The sequence below is a fragment of the Homo sapiens genome, chromosome 15 (genome assembly GCF_000001405.40).
Source record: "Homo sapiens chromosome 15, GRCh38.p14 Primary Assembly".
NCBI classification, from domain to species: Eukaryota; Metazoa; Chordata; class Mammalia; order Primates; family Hominidae; genus Homo; species Homo sapiens.
In genome coordinates this window covers 66,069,756-66,092,681 of record NC_000015.10, presented here as the reverse complement: position 1 = coordinate 66,092,681, position 22,926 = coordinate 66,069,756, and the positions used below count along the sequence as shown (strand labels likewise).

Here is a 22,926-nt window from a genome sequence, read left to right as displayed (position 1 = left end):
GGTTTTTTAGACATGGTCTGTGTCTTTTCAGGGTTTCTGGCCTAATGAAAGAGATGGAACAAAGGTGGCATTTGATGAACAGGACTAGGCAGTTTAGAGTATGACTTGCCCCCCAGAGTGAATTTACCAAGCAAGCAGGGAAACAGACTTGTTACTTTATAGCACAGAACTAGGCTGTCTGATTTAACTCCTCCCATTCAGTCACCAGACTTGGTGCTAAGCAACCCAAAAGCTCTTTGCTCTCAATTAAATCCACCCTCATTGGTTGAAGAGCCATGACTTTTGGATCTACTCAAAGGCATGTGCTATTGAACCCATGGGAAGTTCTAAAAGGGGTTCCAACCCTGTTTGAGGGACAGCAGCATTGAATTAAAGCAATTCATAGATTCTCACCTTCAGTGTCATTCAGAGCACTGAATGTTTAGATGCTCTGCTAAGAGCTTTCCAACCTTTGCTTGAATACCTCCACTGACAAGGAGCTCACTACCTCTTTCGGAAGCCCATTCTCATTGTTGGAAAGTTTTCCCTTCTCTGCAGTGGAAATCTACCTTTTAGCTTCTACTGATTGGTTCTTGCTCATAATAAAGTCCAGGGCAGGGTGATGGATGACCATGATGCTCCTTGTCCCTGGAATTTCTTCCAAGGACCTCATTGGATAAGACCACAGTCTGTGTGTATAGAAATGATCATCTCAGAGCAGTTGATAATAGCCATTGAGGCTGCACAGAAGAAACCAGAGACCCTCCAATGGGTCAGGTATTAGAAGATAGTGATCATTTTCCTCCCCAAGTGTTTCTTCTCCAAGCTCCCTTGCTTCTCACCTGATGTCATCGGGACTACCTTTCCCATCTGGTTTCTCTCCGTTGGCCGTGGCCTTTATTCCTCTTAAATGCTCACTCCTAGATCTGGCCACACAACTGCGAGCTTGGTGTGACCAGTATGGAAAAATGATAGTGGAGATAGCTACTATATATTGAATTTTACTATGCACTGAGTGCTTTATTTACTTATCCACTTGTTTAATTTTCACAACAAACTTATAGTATGGGAATTGTTATTTATCCCCATTTTACAAAGGAGCAAGTTGAAGCAGAGAGAGGTTAAAGAACTTCCAGCAGACACAGTTAGTTGATGGTAAGTCTGGGACTATCACCCAAGCAAAAACCTATGTCCTGAACCTGAACTCTTAATTATTTATACAATTGTAACTTATAACTCTACCTCCTTCTGGATGCTCAACCTCTGTTAATATAGTCCAAGGTTGAAATTGATCTGTCATGAGAAAACATGGTTGTTCATAGGGAAAAGTGAGCTCTGCTTAAAAGATGTGGCCCTGAGATATTGCTGTGGAGATAGAGGAGTCGGCCATGGGACGCAAATTGTTACCAGCTTTCCTCAAGTAATTTGAGCCTGCTTGCTACATGCTATTTGGGGGTCTATCTGCCAGTGTGCTCTCTGCAGTGCCTTAGGGTCTTTGTGGGCCCAAATCTGTGGAGACAAGTATCTTGGTCCCTCTTCAGTGTGGTCTCTGGAGATCACTGAGTGGGGTCTATATGTGTGACACCCTTTCAGAGAAGCTTTGGTTTTGTTTAATTGAAAGCATCATTCTTGTTTGTTTTTTTCTCTCTGGTTCTTAAGTTATACCTGTTCATGTTAAAAAGAAAAATCAAACTGTAGCAAAAGTTAGACAAAAAAGGTTAACTCTCCACCCCAGAGATAACCACTGCTGGCATTTGGGTGCTTATCCTTCCTGCCATTCCTCTATACATTTGCACATTGGGCTAGATCTGGATATAACTTTTATTATTTAGATCAAATATATGAGCTAGTCTATAACTTGCTGTTTAAATTTAACTTTATGTCATGCACTCATTTTCTTGTTAATAAACGTGAATCTCCTCTAGATTTGTAATGGCCTTACAGAATTTCATTCTATGGATTACCACATGCATTTAACTAGTCCCTTGTTGATGGACATTGAGGTTGTTTCTGATTCTTCACTGTCATAGGCCCACCGTCCTTTTTCCAAGATTCGTGGGGCCTGCTGGCTTCAGAATTTAGAATTTTTCAGAGTTTAGAAAGCATGTGGTGAGTATGTTGTGTGTGACATATGCCCCCATGGGGGTCTGGGCAGCACCCTGGGTGAAACAGTGATATTTCTGAAGTGACATATGACTGATCACATCTAGTGACATAAAGGCAATATATAACCTCAAATCGGTTTCATGCAGATTTTGCCTCTAAATGGATTTTGGTGCTGAATTTTTTAAAACATGTTTTGGACTTTTTAGGGATTTTTGGATTGTGGCCCTGTGTAAAAATGCTGTAGTGATTCTTCTTATGCATATGTCTTTGCCCACTTGTCCCAATTTCTTCTTAGGATAAATTCCTGGAAGTGGCAGGGAGGGTTTTGAAGATCCATCATCCAACTCCCTGCCCCTACCCTGCCCTGCCCTGCCCTTTGTGGCTGCCAATGGATTTATGACTTTGACAGCAGTGAAGGGGATAAATGTAGTACCGGGGTTGGGTGGGGACTTCTCATTCTTTTACTGACTTATAAGCCCCTAGCTGAAATTTTTTAAGGCCTGGACTAATTTCTTTCTGCTCCATAAAGGAAGAGAGATGATGCTGATTTGCCTGGTGGGCTGACACACCAACTATCAGATAATTCTGGGCTGTTAGATGGACCACTATGGGGAAATGGAGTGGCTGCATGCCTGGTCATAAACCTCCATCCCATATAACAATGAAGAGTAAAAGAATGAAATGTCAATTTATACTGAATAAAGACGACAGAGTGACTCTTATTAAATTGCACTAATCTCACAAGTGGAGATAAAAAGGAAGAAAGTTTTCCTATATTGAATATCTAGCTTTTTAAAGTAATTAGGAATATTAAAGCACTGACAATGATTGAGATAGAAACATTATTCATAACTTTTATTTCCGCACTGGGAAATGATCCAGTATACTTCATTTATGAGATTTCAGCTGTACGGAGAAGGACGTGAGCCAATTCCTAAATTAAATATGCCCTGTTAACTTTTATAAACGATGCCCAAGAATTAACTTGGAAATTTAAGCTTTCATTGTATGATTTAATTATTGTATTTCCTGGGTCCCATTTCTCTGCCTCCCATCCCAGGGTGCTTTGCATTTTGGGTTCCAGGCTACAGAATGGCATTTTGGTTTTGGGCCTGAGCCTGCCCTCCAGAAGGCCTGGGGTAGAGATGAGGGAGAAGGCTGCTCTTCCGTTTCCCATTATTTTCCACGTTATCATGTATTCCACCAAACTGGTGTTATCCACGCACTTAGGACAAAGTGCAGGATAAGTCAAAGCCCGGTACACACTGTCCTGCTCTTTTGCAGAATTGCTCCCCTACTCCCCAGACACTGGGCACAAGGCAGGACTACAGAGAGGCCTGAGTGATGAAGGCAGCTGGAACCAAGCTGGCCCATCACCAGCTGTAGCTTCTGCCAAGTCCAGCGTGTTCTTATCTTGAATGGTGTGTGGGACCCCAGGCCGACTTGGCTTTAAGCTATCTGCAGATTAAAATAGAATGTTAACCAGCTCAGAAATATGCCTATGCTCCTAAACTAGCTCGGGACCCTTAAGGTCAGTGCTTCTCAAACTAAGTGTTGGCTACAAATTCTTTCTTTAAAAAGTCCTGGTAAAAGATACATAACATAAAATTACTCATTTTAACATTTTTAAATGTGCAATTTGGTAACATTGGTACATTCACATTGTTGTGCAAACATCACCATCATCCATCTTCAGAACTTTTTCATCTTCCCCAACTGAAACTCTGTCCTCACTGAACACTAACTCCCCGTTGCCCCCTTCCCTGGCCCTTGGCAACCAACAATCTGCTTTCTGTCTCTATGAATTTGACTACTCTGTGCTTCATATAATTGGAATCATACAGTATTTGTCCCTTTCTGACTGGCTGATTTCACTTAGCATAATGTCCTCAAGGTTCATCTGTGCCATAGCATGTGTCGGAATTTCCTTTTTTTTTTTTTGAGAATGAAGTCTTGCTCTGTCGCCCAGGCTGGGGTGCAGTGGTGCAATCTCGGTTCACTGCACCCTCCGCCTCCCAGGTTCAAGTGATTCTCCTGCTTCAGCCTTCTGAGTAGTAGCTGGGATTGCAGGTGCATGCCACCACGCCCAGCTACTTTTTCTATTTTTAGTAGAGACGGGGTTTCACCATGTTGGCCAAGCTGACCTTGAACTCCTGACCTGAAGGGATCCACTCAGCCTCCCAAAGTGCTGGGATTACAGGCGTGAGCCATTGCGCCCAGCCCCCTCATTTGGTTATGTCCTTTCCTGGTTTTGGTATTAGGGTGATGCTGGCTTTAGAATGAATTAGGAAGAGTTCCTTCTTTATCTTGTGGAACAGTGTCAAAAGGATTGGTACCAATTCTTCTTTGAGTGTCTAGTAGAATTCAGCTGTGACTCTGTCTGCTCCTGGACTTTTTTTTGTTGGTAATTTTTAAATTATCATTTCAATGTCACTGCTTGTTATTTGTCTGTTCAGGGTATCTAATTCTTCCTGATTTAAACTGGAAGGGTTGTAATTTTCCAGGAATTTATCCGTCGCTTCTAGGTTTTGTAGTTTATGTGCATAAAGGTGGGTTCATAGTAGCCTTCAATGTTCTTTTGTATTTCTGTGGCGTCAGTTGTAATATCTCCTGTTGCGTTTCTTTGTGAGGTTATTTGGATTTTCTCTCTTCTTTTCTTGGTTAATCTGGCTAATGGTCTGTCAGTTTTATTTATCTTTTCAAAGAACCAGCTTTTTCTTTCATTTATTGTTGGTATTGTTGTTGTTGTTGTCTCAATTTCATTTAGTTATGCTCTGATCTTGGCTATTTCCTTTCTTCTGCTGGTTTTGGATTTGGTTTGTTCTTATTTCTCTAGTTCCTTGAGGTGTGACCTTAGGTTATCTATTTGTGTTCTTTCAGACTTTTTGATGAAGGCGTTTAGGGCTATGAACTTTCCTCTTAGCACTGCCTTTGCTGTATCCCAGAGGTTTTGATAGGTTGTGTCATTATTGTCATTCGAAGAATTTTTTAATTTCCATCTTGATTTCATTTTTGACCCAATGCTCATTCAGGAGCAGGTTATTTAATGTCCATGTATTTACATGGTTTTGAAGGTTCCTTTTGGAGTTGATTTCCAGTTTTATTCCACTGTGGTCTGAGAGAGTGCTTGATGTAATTTCAATTTTCTTAAATTAATTGAGGCTCATTTTATGGCCTATCATATGGTCTCTCTTGGAGAAAGTTCCATGTGCTGTTGAATAGAATGTGTATTCTGTGGTCGTTGGATGAAATGTTCTGTATATACCTGTTAAGTCCATTTGTTCTGGGAAGTAGTTTAAATCCATGGTTTTTTTGTTGACTTTCTGTCTTGATGACCTGTCTAGTGCTGTCAGTGGAGTATTGAAGTCCCCCACTATTATTGTGTTGCCGTCTATCTCATTTCTTATGTCTATTAGTAATTGTTTTATAAATTTGGGAGCTCCAGTGTTAGGTGCATATATGTTTAGGATTGTGATATTTTCCTGTTGGACAAGGCCTTTTACCATTGTATAATATCCCTCTTTGTCTCTCTTAACTGCTGTTGTTTTAAAGTTTGTTTTGTGTAATATAAGAATGGCTACCCCTGCTCGCTTTTGGTGTCCAGTTGCATGAAATGCCTTTTCCCACCCCTTTAAGTTTATGTGAGTCCTTAGGTGTTAGATGAGTCTCCTGAAGGCAACAGATGGTTGGTGAGTTCTTATCCATTCTGCAGTTCTGTATTTTTTAAGTGGAGCATTTAGGCCAATTACATTCAATGTTAGTATTGAAATGTGAGGTACCGTTGCATTCATCCTGTTCTTTATTGCCTGTGTACTTTGATTTTGTTTTTGTTTTTGCTTTTTAACTTGTATTTTTGTTTTATAGGTCCTGTGTGATTTATACTTTAAAGAGATTCTGTTTTGATGTGTTTCCAGGATTTGTTTTAAGATTTAGAGCTCCTTTTAGCAGTTCTTGTAGTGGTGGCTTGGTAATGGCGAATTCTCTCAGCATTTGTTTGTCTGAAAACGACCGTATCTTTCCTTCACATATGATGCTTAGTTTTGCTGGATACAAAATTCTTGACTGATAATTGTTTTGTCTGAGGAGGCTGAAGATGGGTCCCCAATCCCTTCTAGCTTATAGGGTTTCTGCTGAGAAATCTGCCATTAATCTGATAGGTTTTCCTTTATAGGTTACCTGGTGCTTCTGTCTCACAGCCCTTAAGATTCTTTCCTTAGTCTTAACTTTGGAAAACCTGATGACAATTTGCCCAGGTGAAGATCTTTTTGCGATGAATTTCCCAGGTGTTCTTTGTGCTTCTTGTACTTGGATGTCTAGGTCTCTCACAAGGCCAGGGAAGTTTTTGTTGATAATTCCCCCAAATATATTTTCCAGGCTTTTAGAATTCTCTTCTTCCTCAGGAACACTGATTATTCTTAGGTTTGATCTTTTAATATAATCCCAGACTTCTTGGAGGCTTTGTTCATATTTTCTTTTTTTTTCTTTGTCTTTGTTGGATTGGGTTAATTCAAAGACCTTGTCTTCGAGCTCTGAATTTCTTTCTTCTACTTTTCCAATTCTGCTGAGACTTTCCAGAGCATTTTGCATTTCTAAAAGTGTGCTCAAAGTTTCCTGAATTTTTTATTGTGTTTTCTTTATTTATTTCCTTGACTATTTCTCCCTTCACTTCTTGTATCATTTTTTGGATTTCCTTGCATTGGGCTTCACCTTTCTCTGGTCCCTCCCTGATTAGCTTAATAACCTCCTGAATTCTTTTTCATGTAAATCAGGGATTTCTTGGTTTGGATCCATTGCTGGTGAACTAGTGTGATTTTTTAGGGGTGTTGAAGAGCCTTGTTTTGTCATATTACCAGGGTTGGTTTTCTGGTTCCTTCTCATTTGGGTAGGCTCTGTCAGAGGGAAGGTCTAGGACTGAAGGCTGTTGTTCAGATTCTTTTGTCCCATGGGGTATTCCCTTGATGTAGTACTCTCCCCCTTTTCCTATGGATGTGGCTTCCTGTAAGCCAAATTGCAGTGACTGTTGTCTCTCATCTGGGTCTAGCTACCTGGTAAGTCTACCCAGCTCCGGGTTGGTACTGGGGGTTGTCTGCACAGAGTCCTGTGATGTAAACTGTCTATGGTCTCTCAGCCGTGGATACCAGTGCCTGTTCTGGTGGAGGTGGCAGAGGGTGCAATGGACTCCATGAGGGTCCTTAGCTTTGGTGGTTTAATGCTCTTTTTTTGTGCTGGTTGGCCTCTTGCCAGGAGGTGGCGCTTTCCAGAAAGCATCAGCTATAGTAATGTGGAGAGGGACCGGTAGTGGGTGGGGCTGTAGAACTCCCAAAATTATATGCCCTTTGTCTTCTGCTACCAGGATGGATAGGGAAGGACCATCAGCTGGGGGTGGGCATAGGCATGTCTGAGCTCAGACTCTTCTTGGGCAGATCTCGCTGCGGCTACTGTGGGGGATGGGAGCGAGGTTCCCAGGTTAATGGAGTTGTGTACCTAGGAGGATTATGGCTGCCTCTGCTGAGTCGTGCAGGTTGTCAGGGAAGTGGGGGAAAGCCAGCAGTCAGAGGCCTCACCCAGCTCCCATGCAAATCAAAGGGCCAGCCTCACTCCCACCGTGCTGCACCCCGTCCCCCCTTCCCCCGCCACCTTCGCGCAACAGCCCGGAGTCTGTTTCCAGGTGTAGGGCAAAATGGGCTTGAAAACTTGCCCAAGGCTATCTGCCTTCCAGCTGCAAAAGAAATGGGCTTTAGTTCTTCCCTTGCTTGTGAGGTCTCCACAGCAGATTCGTGCCCTCCCCCAAGTTATGGCCAGGAGGCTTCTCGCCCCGTTCAAGTTGTTACAAATTTCTGCTAGAGAATTCCTTCTCTCTGTGGAGTTTTACCTCCTGCTCCTCTGGCCACCCTCCTGATGGATCCCTGTGGTGCCAGGCAGGAATGGGCTGCCTGGGGACCACTAAGCCTTTCTGCTGCTTCCTCTACCCCTGTATTTTACTCGGCTCTCTAACTTGATTCAGCTCCTGGTAAAGTCAGAAACTTCTCCCACAAACAGACTTCAGCCTCTCCAGTGGGGGGGTGTGTTCGGGAGAGGAGGGTCTCCCTTTCCCACTTCCACACTTGGGGCACTCACAGTATTTGGGGTGTCTCCTGGGTCCTGCAGGAGCAGTCTGCTTCCTTCAGAGGGTCTGTGGTTCCTCTCGGGATTGCTGGCTTGTTCTTGCAGTTGATCTGGAGCTAAAATTCACACTGCAAGCCGCCGCATTGTCCGGGGCTGCAATCTAGTCCTGCCTCCCATCTGCCATGATCCCCTAACCCTTTGCCCATTTTTTTAATCAGATTGTTTTGTGTTGAGTTATAGGCATTCTTTATATATTCTGGATATTAACCACTTATTAGATACCGTCATGCACCACATAATGATGTTTGTGTCGGTGACTGACCGCATATACGATGGTAGTCAAACCTAGATGGTGTAGCCTAGGTGTGTGGTAGGCTATACCATCTAGGTTTGTGCAAGTACACTCTATGATGTTTGCACAACAACAAAGTCACCTACCAATGCATTTCTCAGAGCATATCCCTATGGTTAAGCAACACATGACCATATGTGATTTGCAGATATTTTCTCCTGTTCTCTGAGTTCCCTTTTTACTCTGTTGATAGTGTCATTTTTAAAAATTATTTTAATTTTTTAGAGATAAGAACTCACTTTGTCACCCGACTGGAGGGCAGTGGCACAATCATAGCTCACTTCAGCCTTGATCTCCCAGGCTCAAGCAATCCTGTGGCTTCAGGCTCCTGAGTAGCTGGGACTACAGGCATGTGTCGCCATGCTGGGCTAATTTTTTAAATTTTTTTCGTAAATACAGGATCTCACTATGTTGCCCAGGCTGTTCTCAAACTCCTGGCCTCAAGCAATGCCCCCACCTCAGCCTATTGATCATGTCTTTTGATATATAAAAGTTTTTTTTTTTTATGAAGTCCAATTTAACTATTTTTTCTTTCATTGCCCGTGCTTTTAGTGTAATATGCAAGAAATCATTGCCAAATTCAATGTCATGACGCTTTACCCCTGTGGTTTCTTCTGAGTTTTATAGGTATGCTCCTACATTTAGGTCTTTGATCCATTTTGAGTGAATTTTTTATAAAGATTCCATTTCATTTTTTTGCATGTGCATATCCAGTTTCCCCAATACTATTTATTGAAAAGACTTTTGCTAGAGACTCTCGAAGCTACAAAGTTTAAAGTTTTTACCATGTAAATGGCACATTAGTTACCTGATAATTTAAACATTTCCTTAAGTTAAAACAAATACAGATTTATAATAGAATGAAATGTACAATTGGCATTTATTGAAAAACCAAAAAGATGATCTCTACCTTCATACCAGAAATGATTGTGCTCCTGGGGAGGCCTGGTGGTATAGCCCCAAAACCTATGACTACAGGTCAGGCCAGCACTGGGATTGGGGATTTCCAGGGATGTCAACCCAACCAACTGCCTGATTTGGAAAGTACATCAGGGAGTGTCTCTGTCTCAGGCGCCCCTGGACACACTCTCATGAAAATGGCAACACCACAGCCTGGTAGCCCAGGACATAGGGGGCAAAGCAGAGGTATAGGATGGGGGCCTGGGTCCCTGCCCCTGGCCTGGGACAGGTGAGGGGTCCCAAAAGGAGATAGGCAGGGCCAGATGGGGGTGTGTGTGGCCCACCACATGTGTCAGCTAGGAAGGGCCACTGCCAAAACTTTAGGGCTCCTCCCAGCAAGGGAGTAAGGAGAATGAATGAATGAGAGGTGGAGGGAGGCGGGAAGAAAGAAGCATGATGAGGGGCCACGATTTGGAGGAGGAAGGTGATGGTGATTTGTGCTCCCGCTGTGTGCAAATGCTTCACGTAAACAGTCCCTCCGCACCGCCCTTTTTTTTTTTTTTTTTTGAGACAGAGTCTTGCTCCATCTTGCTGGAATACAGAATACAGTGGCACGATCTTGGCTCACTGCAACCTCTGCCTCCTGGGTTCAAGCAATTCTTCTTCAGCTTCCCCAGTAGCTGGGACTACAGGTACACACCACCACACCTGGCTAATTTATTTATAGATAGATAGATAGATAGATAGATAGATAGATAGATAGATAGATAGATTTTTTTTTTTTTTTTTTTTTTTTTTTTTTTTTTTTTTTTTTAGTAGAGATGGGGTTTTACCATGTTGGCCAGGCTGGTCTCAAACTCCTCACCTCGGGTGATCTGCCCCTGCTAGGCCTCCCAAGTGTTGCAATTACAGGCATGAGCCACCACGCCTGGCCAACTATCCCATTTCATCTGCCCAGCAGCCTGGGGAGGACATATGTGTTATTCTATTCCACAAATGAAGAAATCAAAGCTCAGGGAGGTGGAGTCACTTCTGATATTCACCCAACTATCAAGCAGCAGATCTGGGATCAGAACCCAGAACTTGTGTTCTTCCCTAAGTTCCATGCTGCCCCTGAAGGGGTGGAAGTTGCCTTAGCTAGTTCAGGCTGCTGTAACAAGACTTGGTGGCTTCCACGGAAAAGTGTTTCTCACAGTTCTGGAGGCTCGGAGGTCCAAGACCAAGGTTCTGGCTGACTCTATTTCTGGCGAGGGCCTGCCTTCTCACGGTGTCTTCCAGAGTGGAGAAGGGGGTCGTGTCCCTCATGTCTCTTCTTTAGATCAGTGCCCTCTAAGGGGACTGATTACCTCCCACAGACTCGACACAGGTCCCACCTCCACACAGCACTACATTGGGGATTAGGGTTTCAATATGAATTTAGGGGGGACTTGAACATTCAGTTCATAGCAGAAGTCCTGTGCCTTAACATACAGGAAAGCTGGCTTTGTTCCAGGTCTTCCCTGGGGGACCCTGGTCCTTTCCTTTCTGTGGGCCTCAGTTTTCTCATCTTTAAAGTGGGAAGGGCCAGGCGCAGTCGCTCATACCTGTAATCCCAGCACTTTGGAAGGCTGAGGCAGGTGGATCACTTGAGGTCAGGAGTTCGAGACCAGCCTGGCCAACATGGTGAAACCCCGTCTCTACTAAAAATACAGAAATTAGCTGGGCATGGTGGAGGGCGCCTGTAATCCCAGCTACTTGGAAGGCTAAGGCAGGAGAATAGCTTGAACCCGGGAGGCGGAGGTTGCAGTGAGCCGAGATCGTGCCATTGCACTCCAGCCTGGATGACAGAGTGAGACTCTATCTCAAGAAAGAAAAAAGAAAGTGGGAAGGTAAACAGGGCTATTTCCACTGTGACAGCTCATGATGTTTTATTTCTAAGGAGTCAAAGTCCAGGACTGGCTCACCTAATCCGAGGCCCTGGTGACCTCCCTGCTGCCCCCTGATGGAGGATGTCTCCCCTTCCTGCCACCCCGCTCATGGCCACCCTGATTCTCTCTTCATTCCCAGACCTGGAGAGGATGGGGAGGTAGGGAGGCAGGGCATGAGGGGGATGGGGCGGCCTTGTGATCACATCCTCGCCCCCTCCAGGTGGGAGCTCCTGCTGAGCCCTATGCTGTCCAGGTATAGCTCATGCGTGCAGTGGGTGTGCAGAGGGTGCTGTGCCAGCCGGGAGGCCTCAGCTCTCTCTCGAGTTGTTTTTTCACTGCATCGAGCCGGCTGTCAAGGTTAAAGCAACTTCAGATGAATCACCGCAAAGCAATTACACTCACTGTTCCTCGCGTGCAGCTCTGCCAAGCCCGCGGCCCTTCGCAGACCCGCCTGGGCCGCCTTCTGCCGGCATCTGGTGTGCCTGTGGGCCTCCCCGGGACGGTGGGCTCTGTGTCAGCCCCACACACTGGGGCACAGTCACCGTGACGGGGACAGAAGGGAGCTGTGTACGTAGCAGCAAATGCTTTTTCAAGGTTTATGAGTAAGAGGAGCTGCTATTCACCCTGGAATTCTAATTTTGAACAAAAAGGAATTCAATAGCCAGGACCACTGGCCTCATCGACTCAGTATTCTCCATCCTTGACTTCCTCTTAGTGCACATTTACTGAGCGCTTCTCAAAGGCCAACAGTGCCCAGGGTTCAGGACCAAATGGGGGGTTCAGAGATGAGGAGAGCATAGCCTCCATCTTCCAAGAACTTTGAGCAGAAGCCAGAACCACCAGCACAGAGAGGAGGGAGGAGGAGGAGGCAGGAGAGGAAAGGCTCTGCTTTTATGGGAGGGGGACCTGGATGGCGAGGCCATCATGGGAGGGCAGTGGAAGGCAGGAGCCAGGTGTGTGCTGCGGTCCCCCTTTTAGAAAGAGAATCTGAGGCACAGAGAGGTTACATAATGGCCTGAGGTCCCGCATCTGGTGACTGTCAGGGCTGGGTCTGTCTGAGGCTTTCCACGAGGTCATGGGGTCAGAAGTGCGAGGACAGACTCAATTGTGAGGAGCCTGTGCTCAAGCCTGAAAGAGACCATGAGACAGGTAAGAGACTGCCCAGCCCCTGAGTCCTGGGGGGCTGTGGGCCGCAGGGGAGGAACAGCAAGAACCTGGGTCTGCCGGCCTTGATGTCCATCTCTCCGCCCTTGGCTGTCACATCCCCCAGCCTCTGTCTCCTTCTCTTTGAGATGTTCCAGCCTTGGTGACACTCTGGAAGCCAGCGGAGATATGAGTCTCCTCTCTCCCATGCTCCGTTTCTTCCACAGTGCCTCCCAGGAGAAACGGGAAAGGGGAGGAAGCAGGTGCTGGGGAGCCCCGCCCTTGTGGGAGCCCAGACCTTTGTCAGGATGAGGATCAGGCTGGGAAGGGGCAGCCCATGGAGACCCCAGAACACCAGCTCAAAGGCAGCTGGTCCTTCCCACCCCATCTCTACCCTCCACCCACTCATGTTCCTGTGATGCTGCTGCCAGGTAAACGCACCTGAGAGCGATCACCTAAGTGCACCCCAAGAATGACCCTGTATGGCAAACGCACCTGAATGTGTGTTCTGAGCTAGGGAATCTGAGAGTGGCCAACCTGGAGATTCGTTCCTTGTCTATGAGGAATATCTGAGCCGTCGGCCTGTCTGGTGGAACACTGGCTGTACAGGGGATTAAGCCCTGAGTTTTGGCGGGGGTGCTGGGGGGGGGGGTGTGAATGAAGGTTCCCAGGTGGAGGTTGTTAGGGTGCTGAGTGGAAATGCTATAGCAACTGCATGCCTTTTACAAGCAGTTGTGGTTCTTCTGCCCAGCCCGCCACTGCTGGGCTCTCCTCTGCATATAAGCCCCCAGTAAAACCCCATGTCTCTTTTGCTGTTTCTGGGTCTCTTCTTTGGCCTCTTGAACCTGGTGCCATCCCCACTAGAGTTGTTAGGGGTTCAGCACAACAGATGCCCACCAGGAAAGGAGGGGAGACCTTCTGAGGGTCCTCATCTGTCCCCCCAAGAAAATCCCAGACAAATCCTCATCTGTCCCCCCAAGAAAATTCACAGGCAGGAAGGCAGGCAGGCCATGGGGCAGGAGGCGGTGTGGGGCCACTGCTCTCCCCATTCTTGAGAAAGGGCAGTCTCCCAGAGTCTCACCCCTTCCCCACTGCCCACTGCCCCTCAGACCAGGGAAGATTTGGGGCCAGTCACATCTGAGCAGGAGGTGGGGGTGAGGCAGGGCCCTGGCACGTGTGGCTCCTCCTGAATTTTTGGACCTGAGAAAGCCAGAAACGGGATAGCCTGGGGTCTGCGAGTGAACTGTGTACTCGGGAGTGTTGTAAGTGGGGAGGGAGGTACATTCTGCCCAACTCAGTTCCTGCCATCTGCTCCCTGAGAACAAAATGAATAAATAAATGACACACAGGGAGTCTCGAGAACTGGCAAGAGGCGGGCAGTGGAGATCCCACCTTGAATGTGACAAAAGCAGAATAGAGTGGCGGGAGCCCAGCTGGCGTTGTCGCACGTGCTGGCAACCGGGCGGATACCCCTCCCCAGCCCCACACAGGTGTGAAAAGGACCTGCACTTCCAGGGGCAGCCTGCAGGCAGGGTCTCCAGGAGGGGACTCACGAACTGCACCCACCTGCTCCCACCAGCCTGCAGGATGTCCCTAGAACTCTGAGGGGAAGGAGAGGGAGAAGGTGCATCTCATCCTGGGCAGAGAGGGGCCTGGTGATGGGGGAGCCCTGCCCCCAAGAATGTCAGCGCCAGCCAGCCCCTGCCCACCTGTGGGCCACCGCAGACCTCCTTTCCTCCTGACGCAGCCCCATAAGGTGGGGTTAGAGAGCCGAGGCCCGGGAAGTCCAGTCATCCTCCAAGGTCACTCGGCTACGGCAAGTGTGAGCTCTCCACTCAGGCGTGTTTCCGCCACGATGCAGGGCTGTGGAGGAGGTGGCACTTGAGGCTGACAGGGAAGGAGGCTGGGCTTTGCTCTTGCTTCAGCATCTCTCCTAACTCATCCAGTACTTCCTCTACACACCGTCCTAGAGAAAGTAGTTTATTATTCTCATCCCCATCTCTCAGAGGAGGAAATGGGCTCTGAGAGGTTCAGTACCTGGCCCAAGGGTACTCATAAGCAGCAGCAGCATGATTTGAACTCAGGCAGTCTGTCCCTGGAGACCACCCTTGAAACTCTGGTTGATGCCCTCTGCCTTCCCTCCCCAACCCCTCCCACACTTGGGAGGTGGGGAGGCTACTGAAACGCCAATTGGGCCACACCTGTGTCCCTGCTCTCTATTGCCTGCCGGGAAGTGCTCATCTCCTTGGCCCGGCCTTCCTGGCCCCTCTGGATGTGGCACCTGCCTGGCTTTCAACCTCATCTCCCTCCCATCATTCCCACCCTTGCCCTCTTTCATCCACTGACCCATTGCTCTTTTGCTGTCAAAGCCCAGCACAGATGCCCCCCTGCTGTGAAGGTTCCCTGATTCCCAGGGGCCTCGACTCTGTACATGGCCAGGCGGTCCTTGCCACCCTGGGCAGTTTTGGTTTGATTGTGTTTGTCTCCCTCTCACCCGTATCCCCTGAGGCCTCTTCATGCAGGACCCACGTCTTTCTTGTCTCTATGACCTGGAGCACCTCATGCTGCCTGGCACATGGAAGGTACTAAGCAGTGTTACATGGAATCTGGTAGACTTGCTCTCCTGTCTTATCACGTCTTTCGTTCCTTCTGGAGGTGGAGGTGGGACTAGGGAAGATTATGGGGCTCTGGGTTGGATGCTTGAGAGAATGCAAAGCCATATCACGTGATCTTCCAATGCTTCTCACCTATGGGGAGTAGGGGGCCAGACACGTGCCCCAAGAATTGCAATATGAGGCCAGGAGTCAAATTGGTCCTTCAGAGGAAGCAGAGATCATATCCTGTGGAGAGATCGGAAAGATGCTAAAAATATGGTAGAAGCAGAGCTCAAAGAAGGATGAGATGTGAGGTTTCAGTCATCAGATATGGAAAGAGAGGGTGCTCCAGGCAGGCCCACCCACATAGCAAAGGTGCCAGTGCTGAGCAGGTCAGTGTGGTTGAAGCGGAGGCACCCAGAGGAGTGGGAGCCAGGCTGGACTGGTGGGCCAGGGCAGGTGGCATGGTGTTCTCACACCAACAGCCCAAGGGGCTCTGGCATTATTCTGTGGGCATGGGGAGCCCCTGAAGGCTTATTTTTCATCTACTCACTCTGCAGCGTTTCCTGGTGGGCAACCTTTTAACTCTTTCTTCTCCTAAGTAGCATGTGACCAGCTCTGGGCCTAGGTATGGGAAGAGAGAGGATGCTGAAGGCTTTGATCTGCCCTTGGAGCCCCAGCCAGTCCCTCTGGGTAGCTGGGCAATGCTCTACTTCCTCCATCCCTGACTGGAGGCTACTGAAGAACATATGGCGGGCTACCTTGGCGTTGGAAGGAAACAGATTGGATGGGGGGAGATTGCTGTGATTAAGAGTTGGTGAATGGATCTGGGCAGAAGATGACCCACAGAGGCCAGGTTGGACATGTCCTGGCCTGACCTCCCTCTGCCTTTCCTGGTGCAGCCAGGGAGATATCCTGGTACAGCCTTACTGTCTCCTGACATCTCTGACTCCCAGCCTGCCTCTCAGGAGCAGCCATGCCCTCCACATCCAGTCCTCAGACCCTGGTGCTGCCCCAAAGCAGGCAGTCACTGTTCAATAGTGCCACAGCAACAGAGGCAGTGGCAGAACTGGAGACTCTGTCACCCTCTAATAAGGAAAACCCATTCTGGCAGGCTGGGTAAATGGCCTCAAATTGAATAATTAATAAAGTTATAAAAATATGTCTACTATATGGCCAGAATAATTCAGCCCAATTAGAAGCAGTTATTTCTCATAGTTATGCCACTTGGTATTTTTTTTTTTTTTTACAAAGATCTTTAGTAACATGACAGAGTTATCAAGTTTGGCTGCCTGCTTGAGAAGTTCTTTTGAGACCAATCCCTCTTCCAGATGAGGAACATGCATCCATCCATCCATCCATCCATCCATCCATCCATCCATCCATCCATCCTGTCTGTCAGTCCAACCATTCATCCCCTTGTCCAACTATGTATCAGTCCATCCATCTGTCCATCACTCTGTCCATTCATCCATCTATCTCTTTATTCTTCCATCCATCTGTCCATCTATGCATACATCCATCTGTTTATTCATTCATCCACTCATTCAGCAGACATTTCTTAAGCCCTTTCCATGTGCCAGACACTGTGCTAGGTTCCGGGCATATGGAGATGAATAAGATCCTTCCCTTGTCCCTGCCCTAAGGACCTTTCAGCCCAGGCAAGTGACCTTTGAGTCACAGAAGCTCTTGTTCCTCTTCCTCTTCAGAGGTCCTGCCAAATATCATTTTTGCCCTTCATCTCATTCCCTTTATTTCATGGATACATACGCAGCTATTTGGACTTAAACATAGTCTTGAGCTAGGTAATGGGCTCCTTCCCAAGGTGGCTTAGCTCATTCTCCTATATCTGAGAGCTCAGGGATCTGCTTGCTTCAAAACACCCACTGTTCTGGGTCCCGACCTTTTCTCCGAGCCATCAGTGGCTGTGAGATCTGGCTTCACTCTGTCCCCTGTCTTCAATGTGATCTGGGGCAAGACATTTACTTTTTCTTGGCCCATCTTTAAAATATGAAGGATCACTGTGCTGCTGTAAGCTCACAGGAATGGTGAGAGTCGAGAGGCTTGGGGCCACCTGTTGGAGATCCCAGTCTGCTGTCTGGAACACTGGACATGAGTTGAATTCTGAGTTACATCAACTCATACTTTACAGGCATCCTTCAGGAAATCCTTCCATAAAGCCAGTGCTCTTTTTGCAATGAAAATATCCTGCTTCTGATTTCTCTGCTGGACATTGGAACTTTTCTCATAGCATAGCAAAACCATGTCATTAAGTCTCCATAGAGCCCTTGCTGTAAGCCCAGATCTGTGCTGGCCTAATCTGATAGAATTCTCTAGTGAGTATGTTACAGTCACCAAACATTTATTAGGGGCCTGATATATTCAGGGGATGCAGAAAGACCTTGCTCTAGAGGGCCTCTCTAACATGGGTTCCCTTTTGCTTCATTGTGAATCAGGATGTCAGAGCTAGCAAAGGCCTTTTGACACCCTAAACAAAGTAAAATGGCAAGCTGTAGTTTGGGAGAAGATATTTGCAATACCTGCAATCTATAAGGATTAATATCCAGAATATATTTTTAATCCTACAAATCAATAAGATGAAACCCAATTCAAACACTAGTGAAGAACATAAACATGTACTTAGCATGCATATTTTGACGGGTAATAAGTGTATGGAAAGATGCTGACCTCACTAGGAATCAAAGATATGCAAATTAAAACTAAGATGCCACCCTATGACCCCCAACAGATTGAGGAAAATCAATTCCTGATAATAGCAAGTGTTAATAAGGACACAGGGAGATGGATACTCTCATATGATACTGATGAGAGAGTGAATTGCCAGTACCACGTTAGGGAGCAGTTTGGTAACTTTAAATAAAGCTGGAGATAATACCAACCTCAGAATGCCATGCATCTCAAATCTTTTTTCTACCACAACCTAGATTCATAAATTCATTTCATGTCATGTCCCAGCACATACATTTTCACACACCGATATTTTAAAATCTCTTCTATTTAACTTTTAAAAATGGTGATCATGGCCCATTATATTGATTTCATGACTCTCCTCTGGGTTACAACTGCAGTTTGAAAAACTCGGCTCCAGAGAGCCTCTCCAACAGGCGCAAGCCTGCATTATTGTTCATAATGGTGAAAAGCTACAGGTCCCTCAAGAGGGAAGTGGATACATTGTAATATACTCATACAATGGAGTCTCCACAGCAGTTAAAATGAATGAACTAGCGCTATACCTGTCTACTTGGATGAATCTCAAATATATCATATTGAGTGAAAAAAGCAAGTTGCAGAGGGCTTCATACAAACCATATGGTATCATTTATAGAAGTGTAAAAGCATGCAAAATAATGAATATGTTATTTATCGGTCCATTCATATGTAATAAAAATACAAATACAGGCATAGAAAGGATCCACATCAAACCAGTCAGGCTCAGGTTACCCCTGGGGAAGGAGAAGATGGGCTAGGGAGGGATACCCAAGGAATTTCAACCGGGTAATGTTTTTCATCTAAAATGAAAACATCTGTAGCAAGACTGGAGGATGTTAAGATCTGTTTGATGGATACACTATGGTTGTTTTAATTTTATTTAAACTTTACAGAATACATGAAACAGTCCATATGCAAAAGAAAAAGGCCTTTGACACCTCTTTGTCCACCTGTCCAGCACCCAAGCTCATGTGGGGGAAAACATGTTGGCTTGTCCTAAACTCAGGTGTTCACTTAATGTAGTTCAACAAATATTTATTGAGCACCCACTATGGGTCTGACAATACCAGGTGTGAGGTGTGGGTTGGGCAGCAAGGAAGGGGAAGATATTACCAGTGAAAATTTGGAGCTCAGCAAGGGAATAGGCTGCCCACCCAACTCTGCCATAAAAAGCAGGTAAACATTCATGCCACAAAGAGGAGCCCAAGTTCACCCTGTGTCTCCCTGGGGAACCAGGAAAGGCTCCTTGGAGGAGGTGAGGACCATGATGGGCATTGAAAAACGGAGAGAGTGATCTGTTAGATCCTGGAAAGGAGATGGGAAAGAAGAGACGATGAAGCAGCTCAGGACTGTACGCTGAAGCACTGCAGCTAAGATGGTGAAATGCTCCCTGGATGGCAGTGCCCAGGAGGAGATAAGATAAATGGAGTGAAGAGGTGGGTCTAATTCATCACAGGAGCTTAGGAGTGCTGGGTTCCCGGAAGCTGTGGGAGATGGGAGACAGCCTGCCCACAAGGAAGGGCACAGCCTCTCAGGGACAGCCACTTCCACCGCCCATCCTCAGCAAGGGCTCAGCGGGGAAGAAGGGGGGCGTGATTCTGCTCAGATCCCAGACTTCCGATTTATTTGACCAGCTCCCAGTAAATTCCTCACACCAGAGGCCTCGCCACCTCACACCAGAGGCCTCGCCATTCATCTCAGGCTGGCGAGGCGGAGGTGGGGGTGCACTGCACAGGAAGTGTCTGTCTTAGATTGCTTGGGGACATGGCCACATGTCTTGCTAGGAGGCCAGCCCCTAAATCCTCCTCTGACTCATTCCCTTCCTAGTAAATCTGAATAGTTTAAAATAACTTCTTCTGACCTTGAGGCTGGTGCCAACTATCTGCCATCCATCAGCCCTGGCCGATTTCTTATTAAGGTTCTGCTGTTCCCTTGCAAAAGTTGCCACCTTAAATCAGAGGGCCCATAGGGCAAGGCAGAGACCGGGGCCTTGCAGACAGTGGGGCAACAGCAAGTCAGGAAGATGAGGTTCTAGTGCCACTGCTGGAGCGAGCCAGGCAACCTTCCTGGGCCTTGACCCTACAGCTTGCATGAGGGCCTATGGATGATAGTTGTCCAAGCTCTGTAAAGCTAGAAAAAGCTGCCTAGGGAGGAGCTCAGAGGAGACCAGCTTCCCAAGGTTTTCCAAAAGCCAGCAGGGAGAAGGCTCAGGTAAAGTGGACTTGTAGCACTGATTACATTCATTCATTCGCTCACTCAGGAATACATGTCACTTATTTAATAAATCTGTATCAGAGGCCTACTGCGTACCTGTTTTAGATGCTGGGGATTCAGCAGTAAACAGGACAGAGAAGGTGCATGCTTTCATGGATATTACCCTTCAGTAACAGAAACACAATTAACAAGAATATAAATAAACACGGTAATTTCAATTGGTGATAAATGCTAAGAAGAAAATAAAAGGGCGTGATGGGTTAAAGTGTGTGAGGTGGGGTGGTCAGGGAAGGCCCTCATGGGAGCTCATGGGAAGATTTGAGCCAAGACTTGAATGCAAGGAGGAGCCACCAGGCCAAAAACTAGGGGAGCTTTGTGTTCGTCAGCCCTCATTCTTGGTCTGTTTTTGACTCAGCAGAAGAAAATTTGTTTTACACTCAGGGGACAATTGCCAGGCTCTGCAGAGGATTTACAAATGGATGAGCATGTTCCTGCTCACACAATGCCTTCTATCTAGTGGGTGTGATCATGCACCATGCAAGGAACTATAGGGCAGGGCGGCTGGGGACGCGAAGGCATCTTGCTGAAAGCTCAGAGAAGGCACAGGCCCCTTCCTGCCTGGATGAGCAGGGAAGAGCTCCTGGAGAGCAGAGCGCCGGAAGGGAGTCCTCTGGCAGGAGCTGTGGGCTCTGTGAGCAGTGCCTGGGTCCCAGTGGTGCTCATTTATTCCGTCAGATGCTGATGCTGGGTGGGCACGTGTGTCCTATTAATTACCGGAGTGAACGGAGTTGTTTCTTGGAGAAATGCAGATGACACATATTGCCCCATCAGCAAAAGAACTATGGGCAGGGAGGAATGCGGAGTTGGAACCAGCTTTCTTTTAATAATTGGCAGCAGATGAGTGGCATGGATTTTTTTCCTTATTGTTGCTGCTGCCAAAGGAAATCACTGAGGTTTCCCCTCTTTTGTGCACTGCATGTCTCCTGGCTCCAGGTCACAGCCCCAACTGGGAACCCGAGCCCTGGATGGTACAGATCATGAGAAATGACAGATCCCCGATGCAGCTGCAGGGCCTTTCTGGGGAGAGCACACGCCACACAGGCCGGTCTGCCGTTGAAATGAGCGATTCTCTTTCATAATTCAATACAATTTGCTTAGCAAATAAAGATTAGCAGGGCCACCTTCTCCACATTTGCTCTCAGCTCTAAACTTCTCTTGACATGGGTCACAGCCAAGGGTTGCAGAGAACAACCAAGAAATACAGTGGCTTCCCATGCACCTTGGAAGCTGATTGGCTGATGACCTCAGAGGCTGGCACGGCACCCCACGGTGGAGACTCTTGGAGGGCAGACTCCAGGCTAGGCAATGCAGAGACAATGTCAGCTCTTCCCCTCAAGGAACGTAGAGTCTAGGAGAGAGAGACAGGCATAGTCATCAGGGCCTGAACAGGTAGGTGTTATCCTATACCTGTGTACGGGGCAGGAGGTGAGGGCGGGGAGGGAGAGGACAGTTCTATAAGGTGGACCTTGGGTGGAGCTTTTATCTCCTTCTTTATGCCCATACAATGCTTGGCACAGAACAGGCGTGGAATAGAATGAAGAATATGGGACAACGCAGTCTCTAAGTGCCACCAAGATACACCACAGCTGAAATGAATCAGAGCCATCTTCTAGTTCTTGAGGGGTGGGGAGATTAATACATAGTTTTCTCCTCGATTCCATGTTTTTCCCTTTAATATGTTCCTATAAACTTTGGTTTCTACAACTGCTTGACTACACTAAAGTCTAGGGAAAGATATGAATACTATGAAGCACTTACTATGTGGTGGACTCTGGGCTGGGTGTTCACAGACATTGGCCTCACTTAATCCCCCCACTTCCTCGACAGCCTTGCAAGTTATTCCCATTCCACAGATGAGGAGACTGAGAGGTGATATAGTCAAGGCCTCCCCGCTGCTGCGGGGTGGGGAGGGAGATTAATTTGAAAGAGTATACCTGCGTAAGATGACGTTCACCTTAGCCCAGCATTACCTATCTAGCTCTGCAGATTTGGTAAATGGGTTTTACAAAGATACCCCCCACCACCACCAGAGCCAGCCTCTTGTAGAATACAGGGTTACAGACCCTTCAACCAGCAATTGTTGAACATCATTTTTGCTTGCTCATTGGTGATCCCGTAAGGCTTAATGCTTAATCCTTTCCTGCCAAACTGGTCCTGGTTGTCACATGGACACCTGCCACCTAGCCAGGACAGGCTTGGGCAGTTGGCCTTTGGTTGGAGATGTGTTAAAGTGGGGCAGGTAATGCCCAGGTCAGGTGTGCCTTGGAAATTTCCAGAGCCCACCTCTCTGGCTGCTCACTTCAAGCTCTGATTGAAGGGGCAGCTGAGCCTGACACAGTTTTCTCAGCTCCCAGACTGTTTCTAAAACCGACATCTCCGAAGATTAAAGCTGGGCTTCCCCAGTCCTCATTGCCTGTGGGGCAACCTCAGGGCCAACCCTCTGGGTGAGCAGACTACCACCCCAGAGCCCAGACAGAGTGACTTTCACTCCAGTCTTTTCCTGATTGTCCTCCCCAGACTGCTGAGGTCATTTCCTTTGGGCTGGAGAAAAGGGAAAGAGGAGCCTAGGCCACGCCCTAATTAAACCAGTTTTCTTAGAGCGGTGGTCAGCAAGCTATGGTCCATGGGCCAAATCTATTCCATTGCCTGCTTTTATAAATAAAGTTTTATTGGAACACAGCCATCCCTATTCATTTCTGGATTGCCTGTGACTGCTTTCTCACTGTAACAGCAGAGTTGAGTAGTGGTGACAGGGACTGTCTTGCTCAAAAGACAGAAAATATTTATTATCTGGCCCTTTATAGAAAAACTTTGCCAATTTCTACTTTAGAACAGT

General features: G+C 47.0%; 1 protein-coding gene across 23 annotated transcripts in view, besides 3 other annotated features; it reads left to right on the top strand.

Moving 5' to 3' along the window:
* MEGF11 (multiple EGF like domains 11) overlaps positions 1–22,926 on the top strand; it is a 358,452-nt gene that overhangs the window by 161,069 nt on the left and 174,457 nt on the right. The window lies entirely within an intron of this gene.
* Positions 11,235–12,201: an enhancer, noted in NCBI's record as "H3K27ac-H3K4me1 hESC enhancer chr15:66372819-66373785 (GRCh37/hg19 assembly coordinates)". NCBI's record gives its function as "activates a minimal SCP1, AML or CMV promoter by ChIP-STARR-seq in naive H9 embryonic stem cells {active_cell/tissue: H9 hESC(naive)}" and the evidence as "EXISTENCE:reporter gene assay evidence [ECO:0000049][PMID:30033119]".
* Positions 12,202–13,170: an enhancer, noted in NCBI's record as "H3K27ac-H3K4me1 hESC enhancer chr15:66371850-66372818 (GRCh37/hg19 assembly coordinates)". NCBI's record gives its function as "activates a minimal SCP1, AML or CMV promoter by ChIP-STARR-seq in naive H9 embryonic stem cells {active_cell/tissue: H9 hESC(naive)}" and the evidence as "EXISTENCE:reporter gene assay evidence [ECO:0000049][PMID:30033119]".
* Positions 18,967–19,467: an enhancer, noted in NCBI's record as "H3K4me1 hESC enhancer chr15:66365553-66366053 (GRCh37/hg19 assembly coordinates)". NCBI's record gives its function as "activates a minimal SCP1, AML or CMV promoter by ChIP-STARR-seq in naive H9 embryonic stem cells {active_cell/tissue: H9 hESC(naive)}" and the evidence as "EXISTENCE:reporter gene assay evidence [ECO:0000049][PMID:30033119]".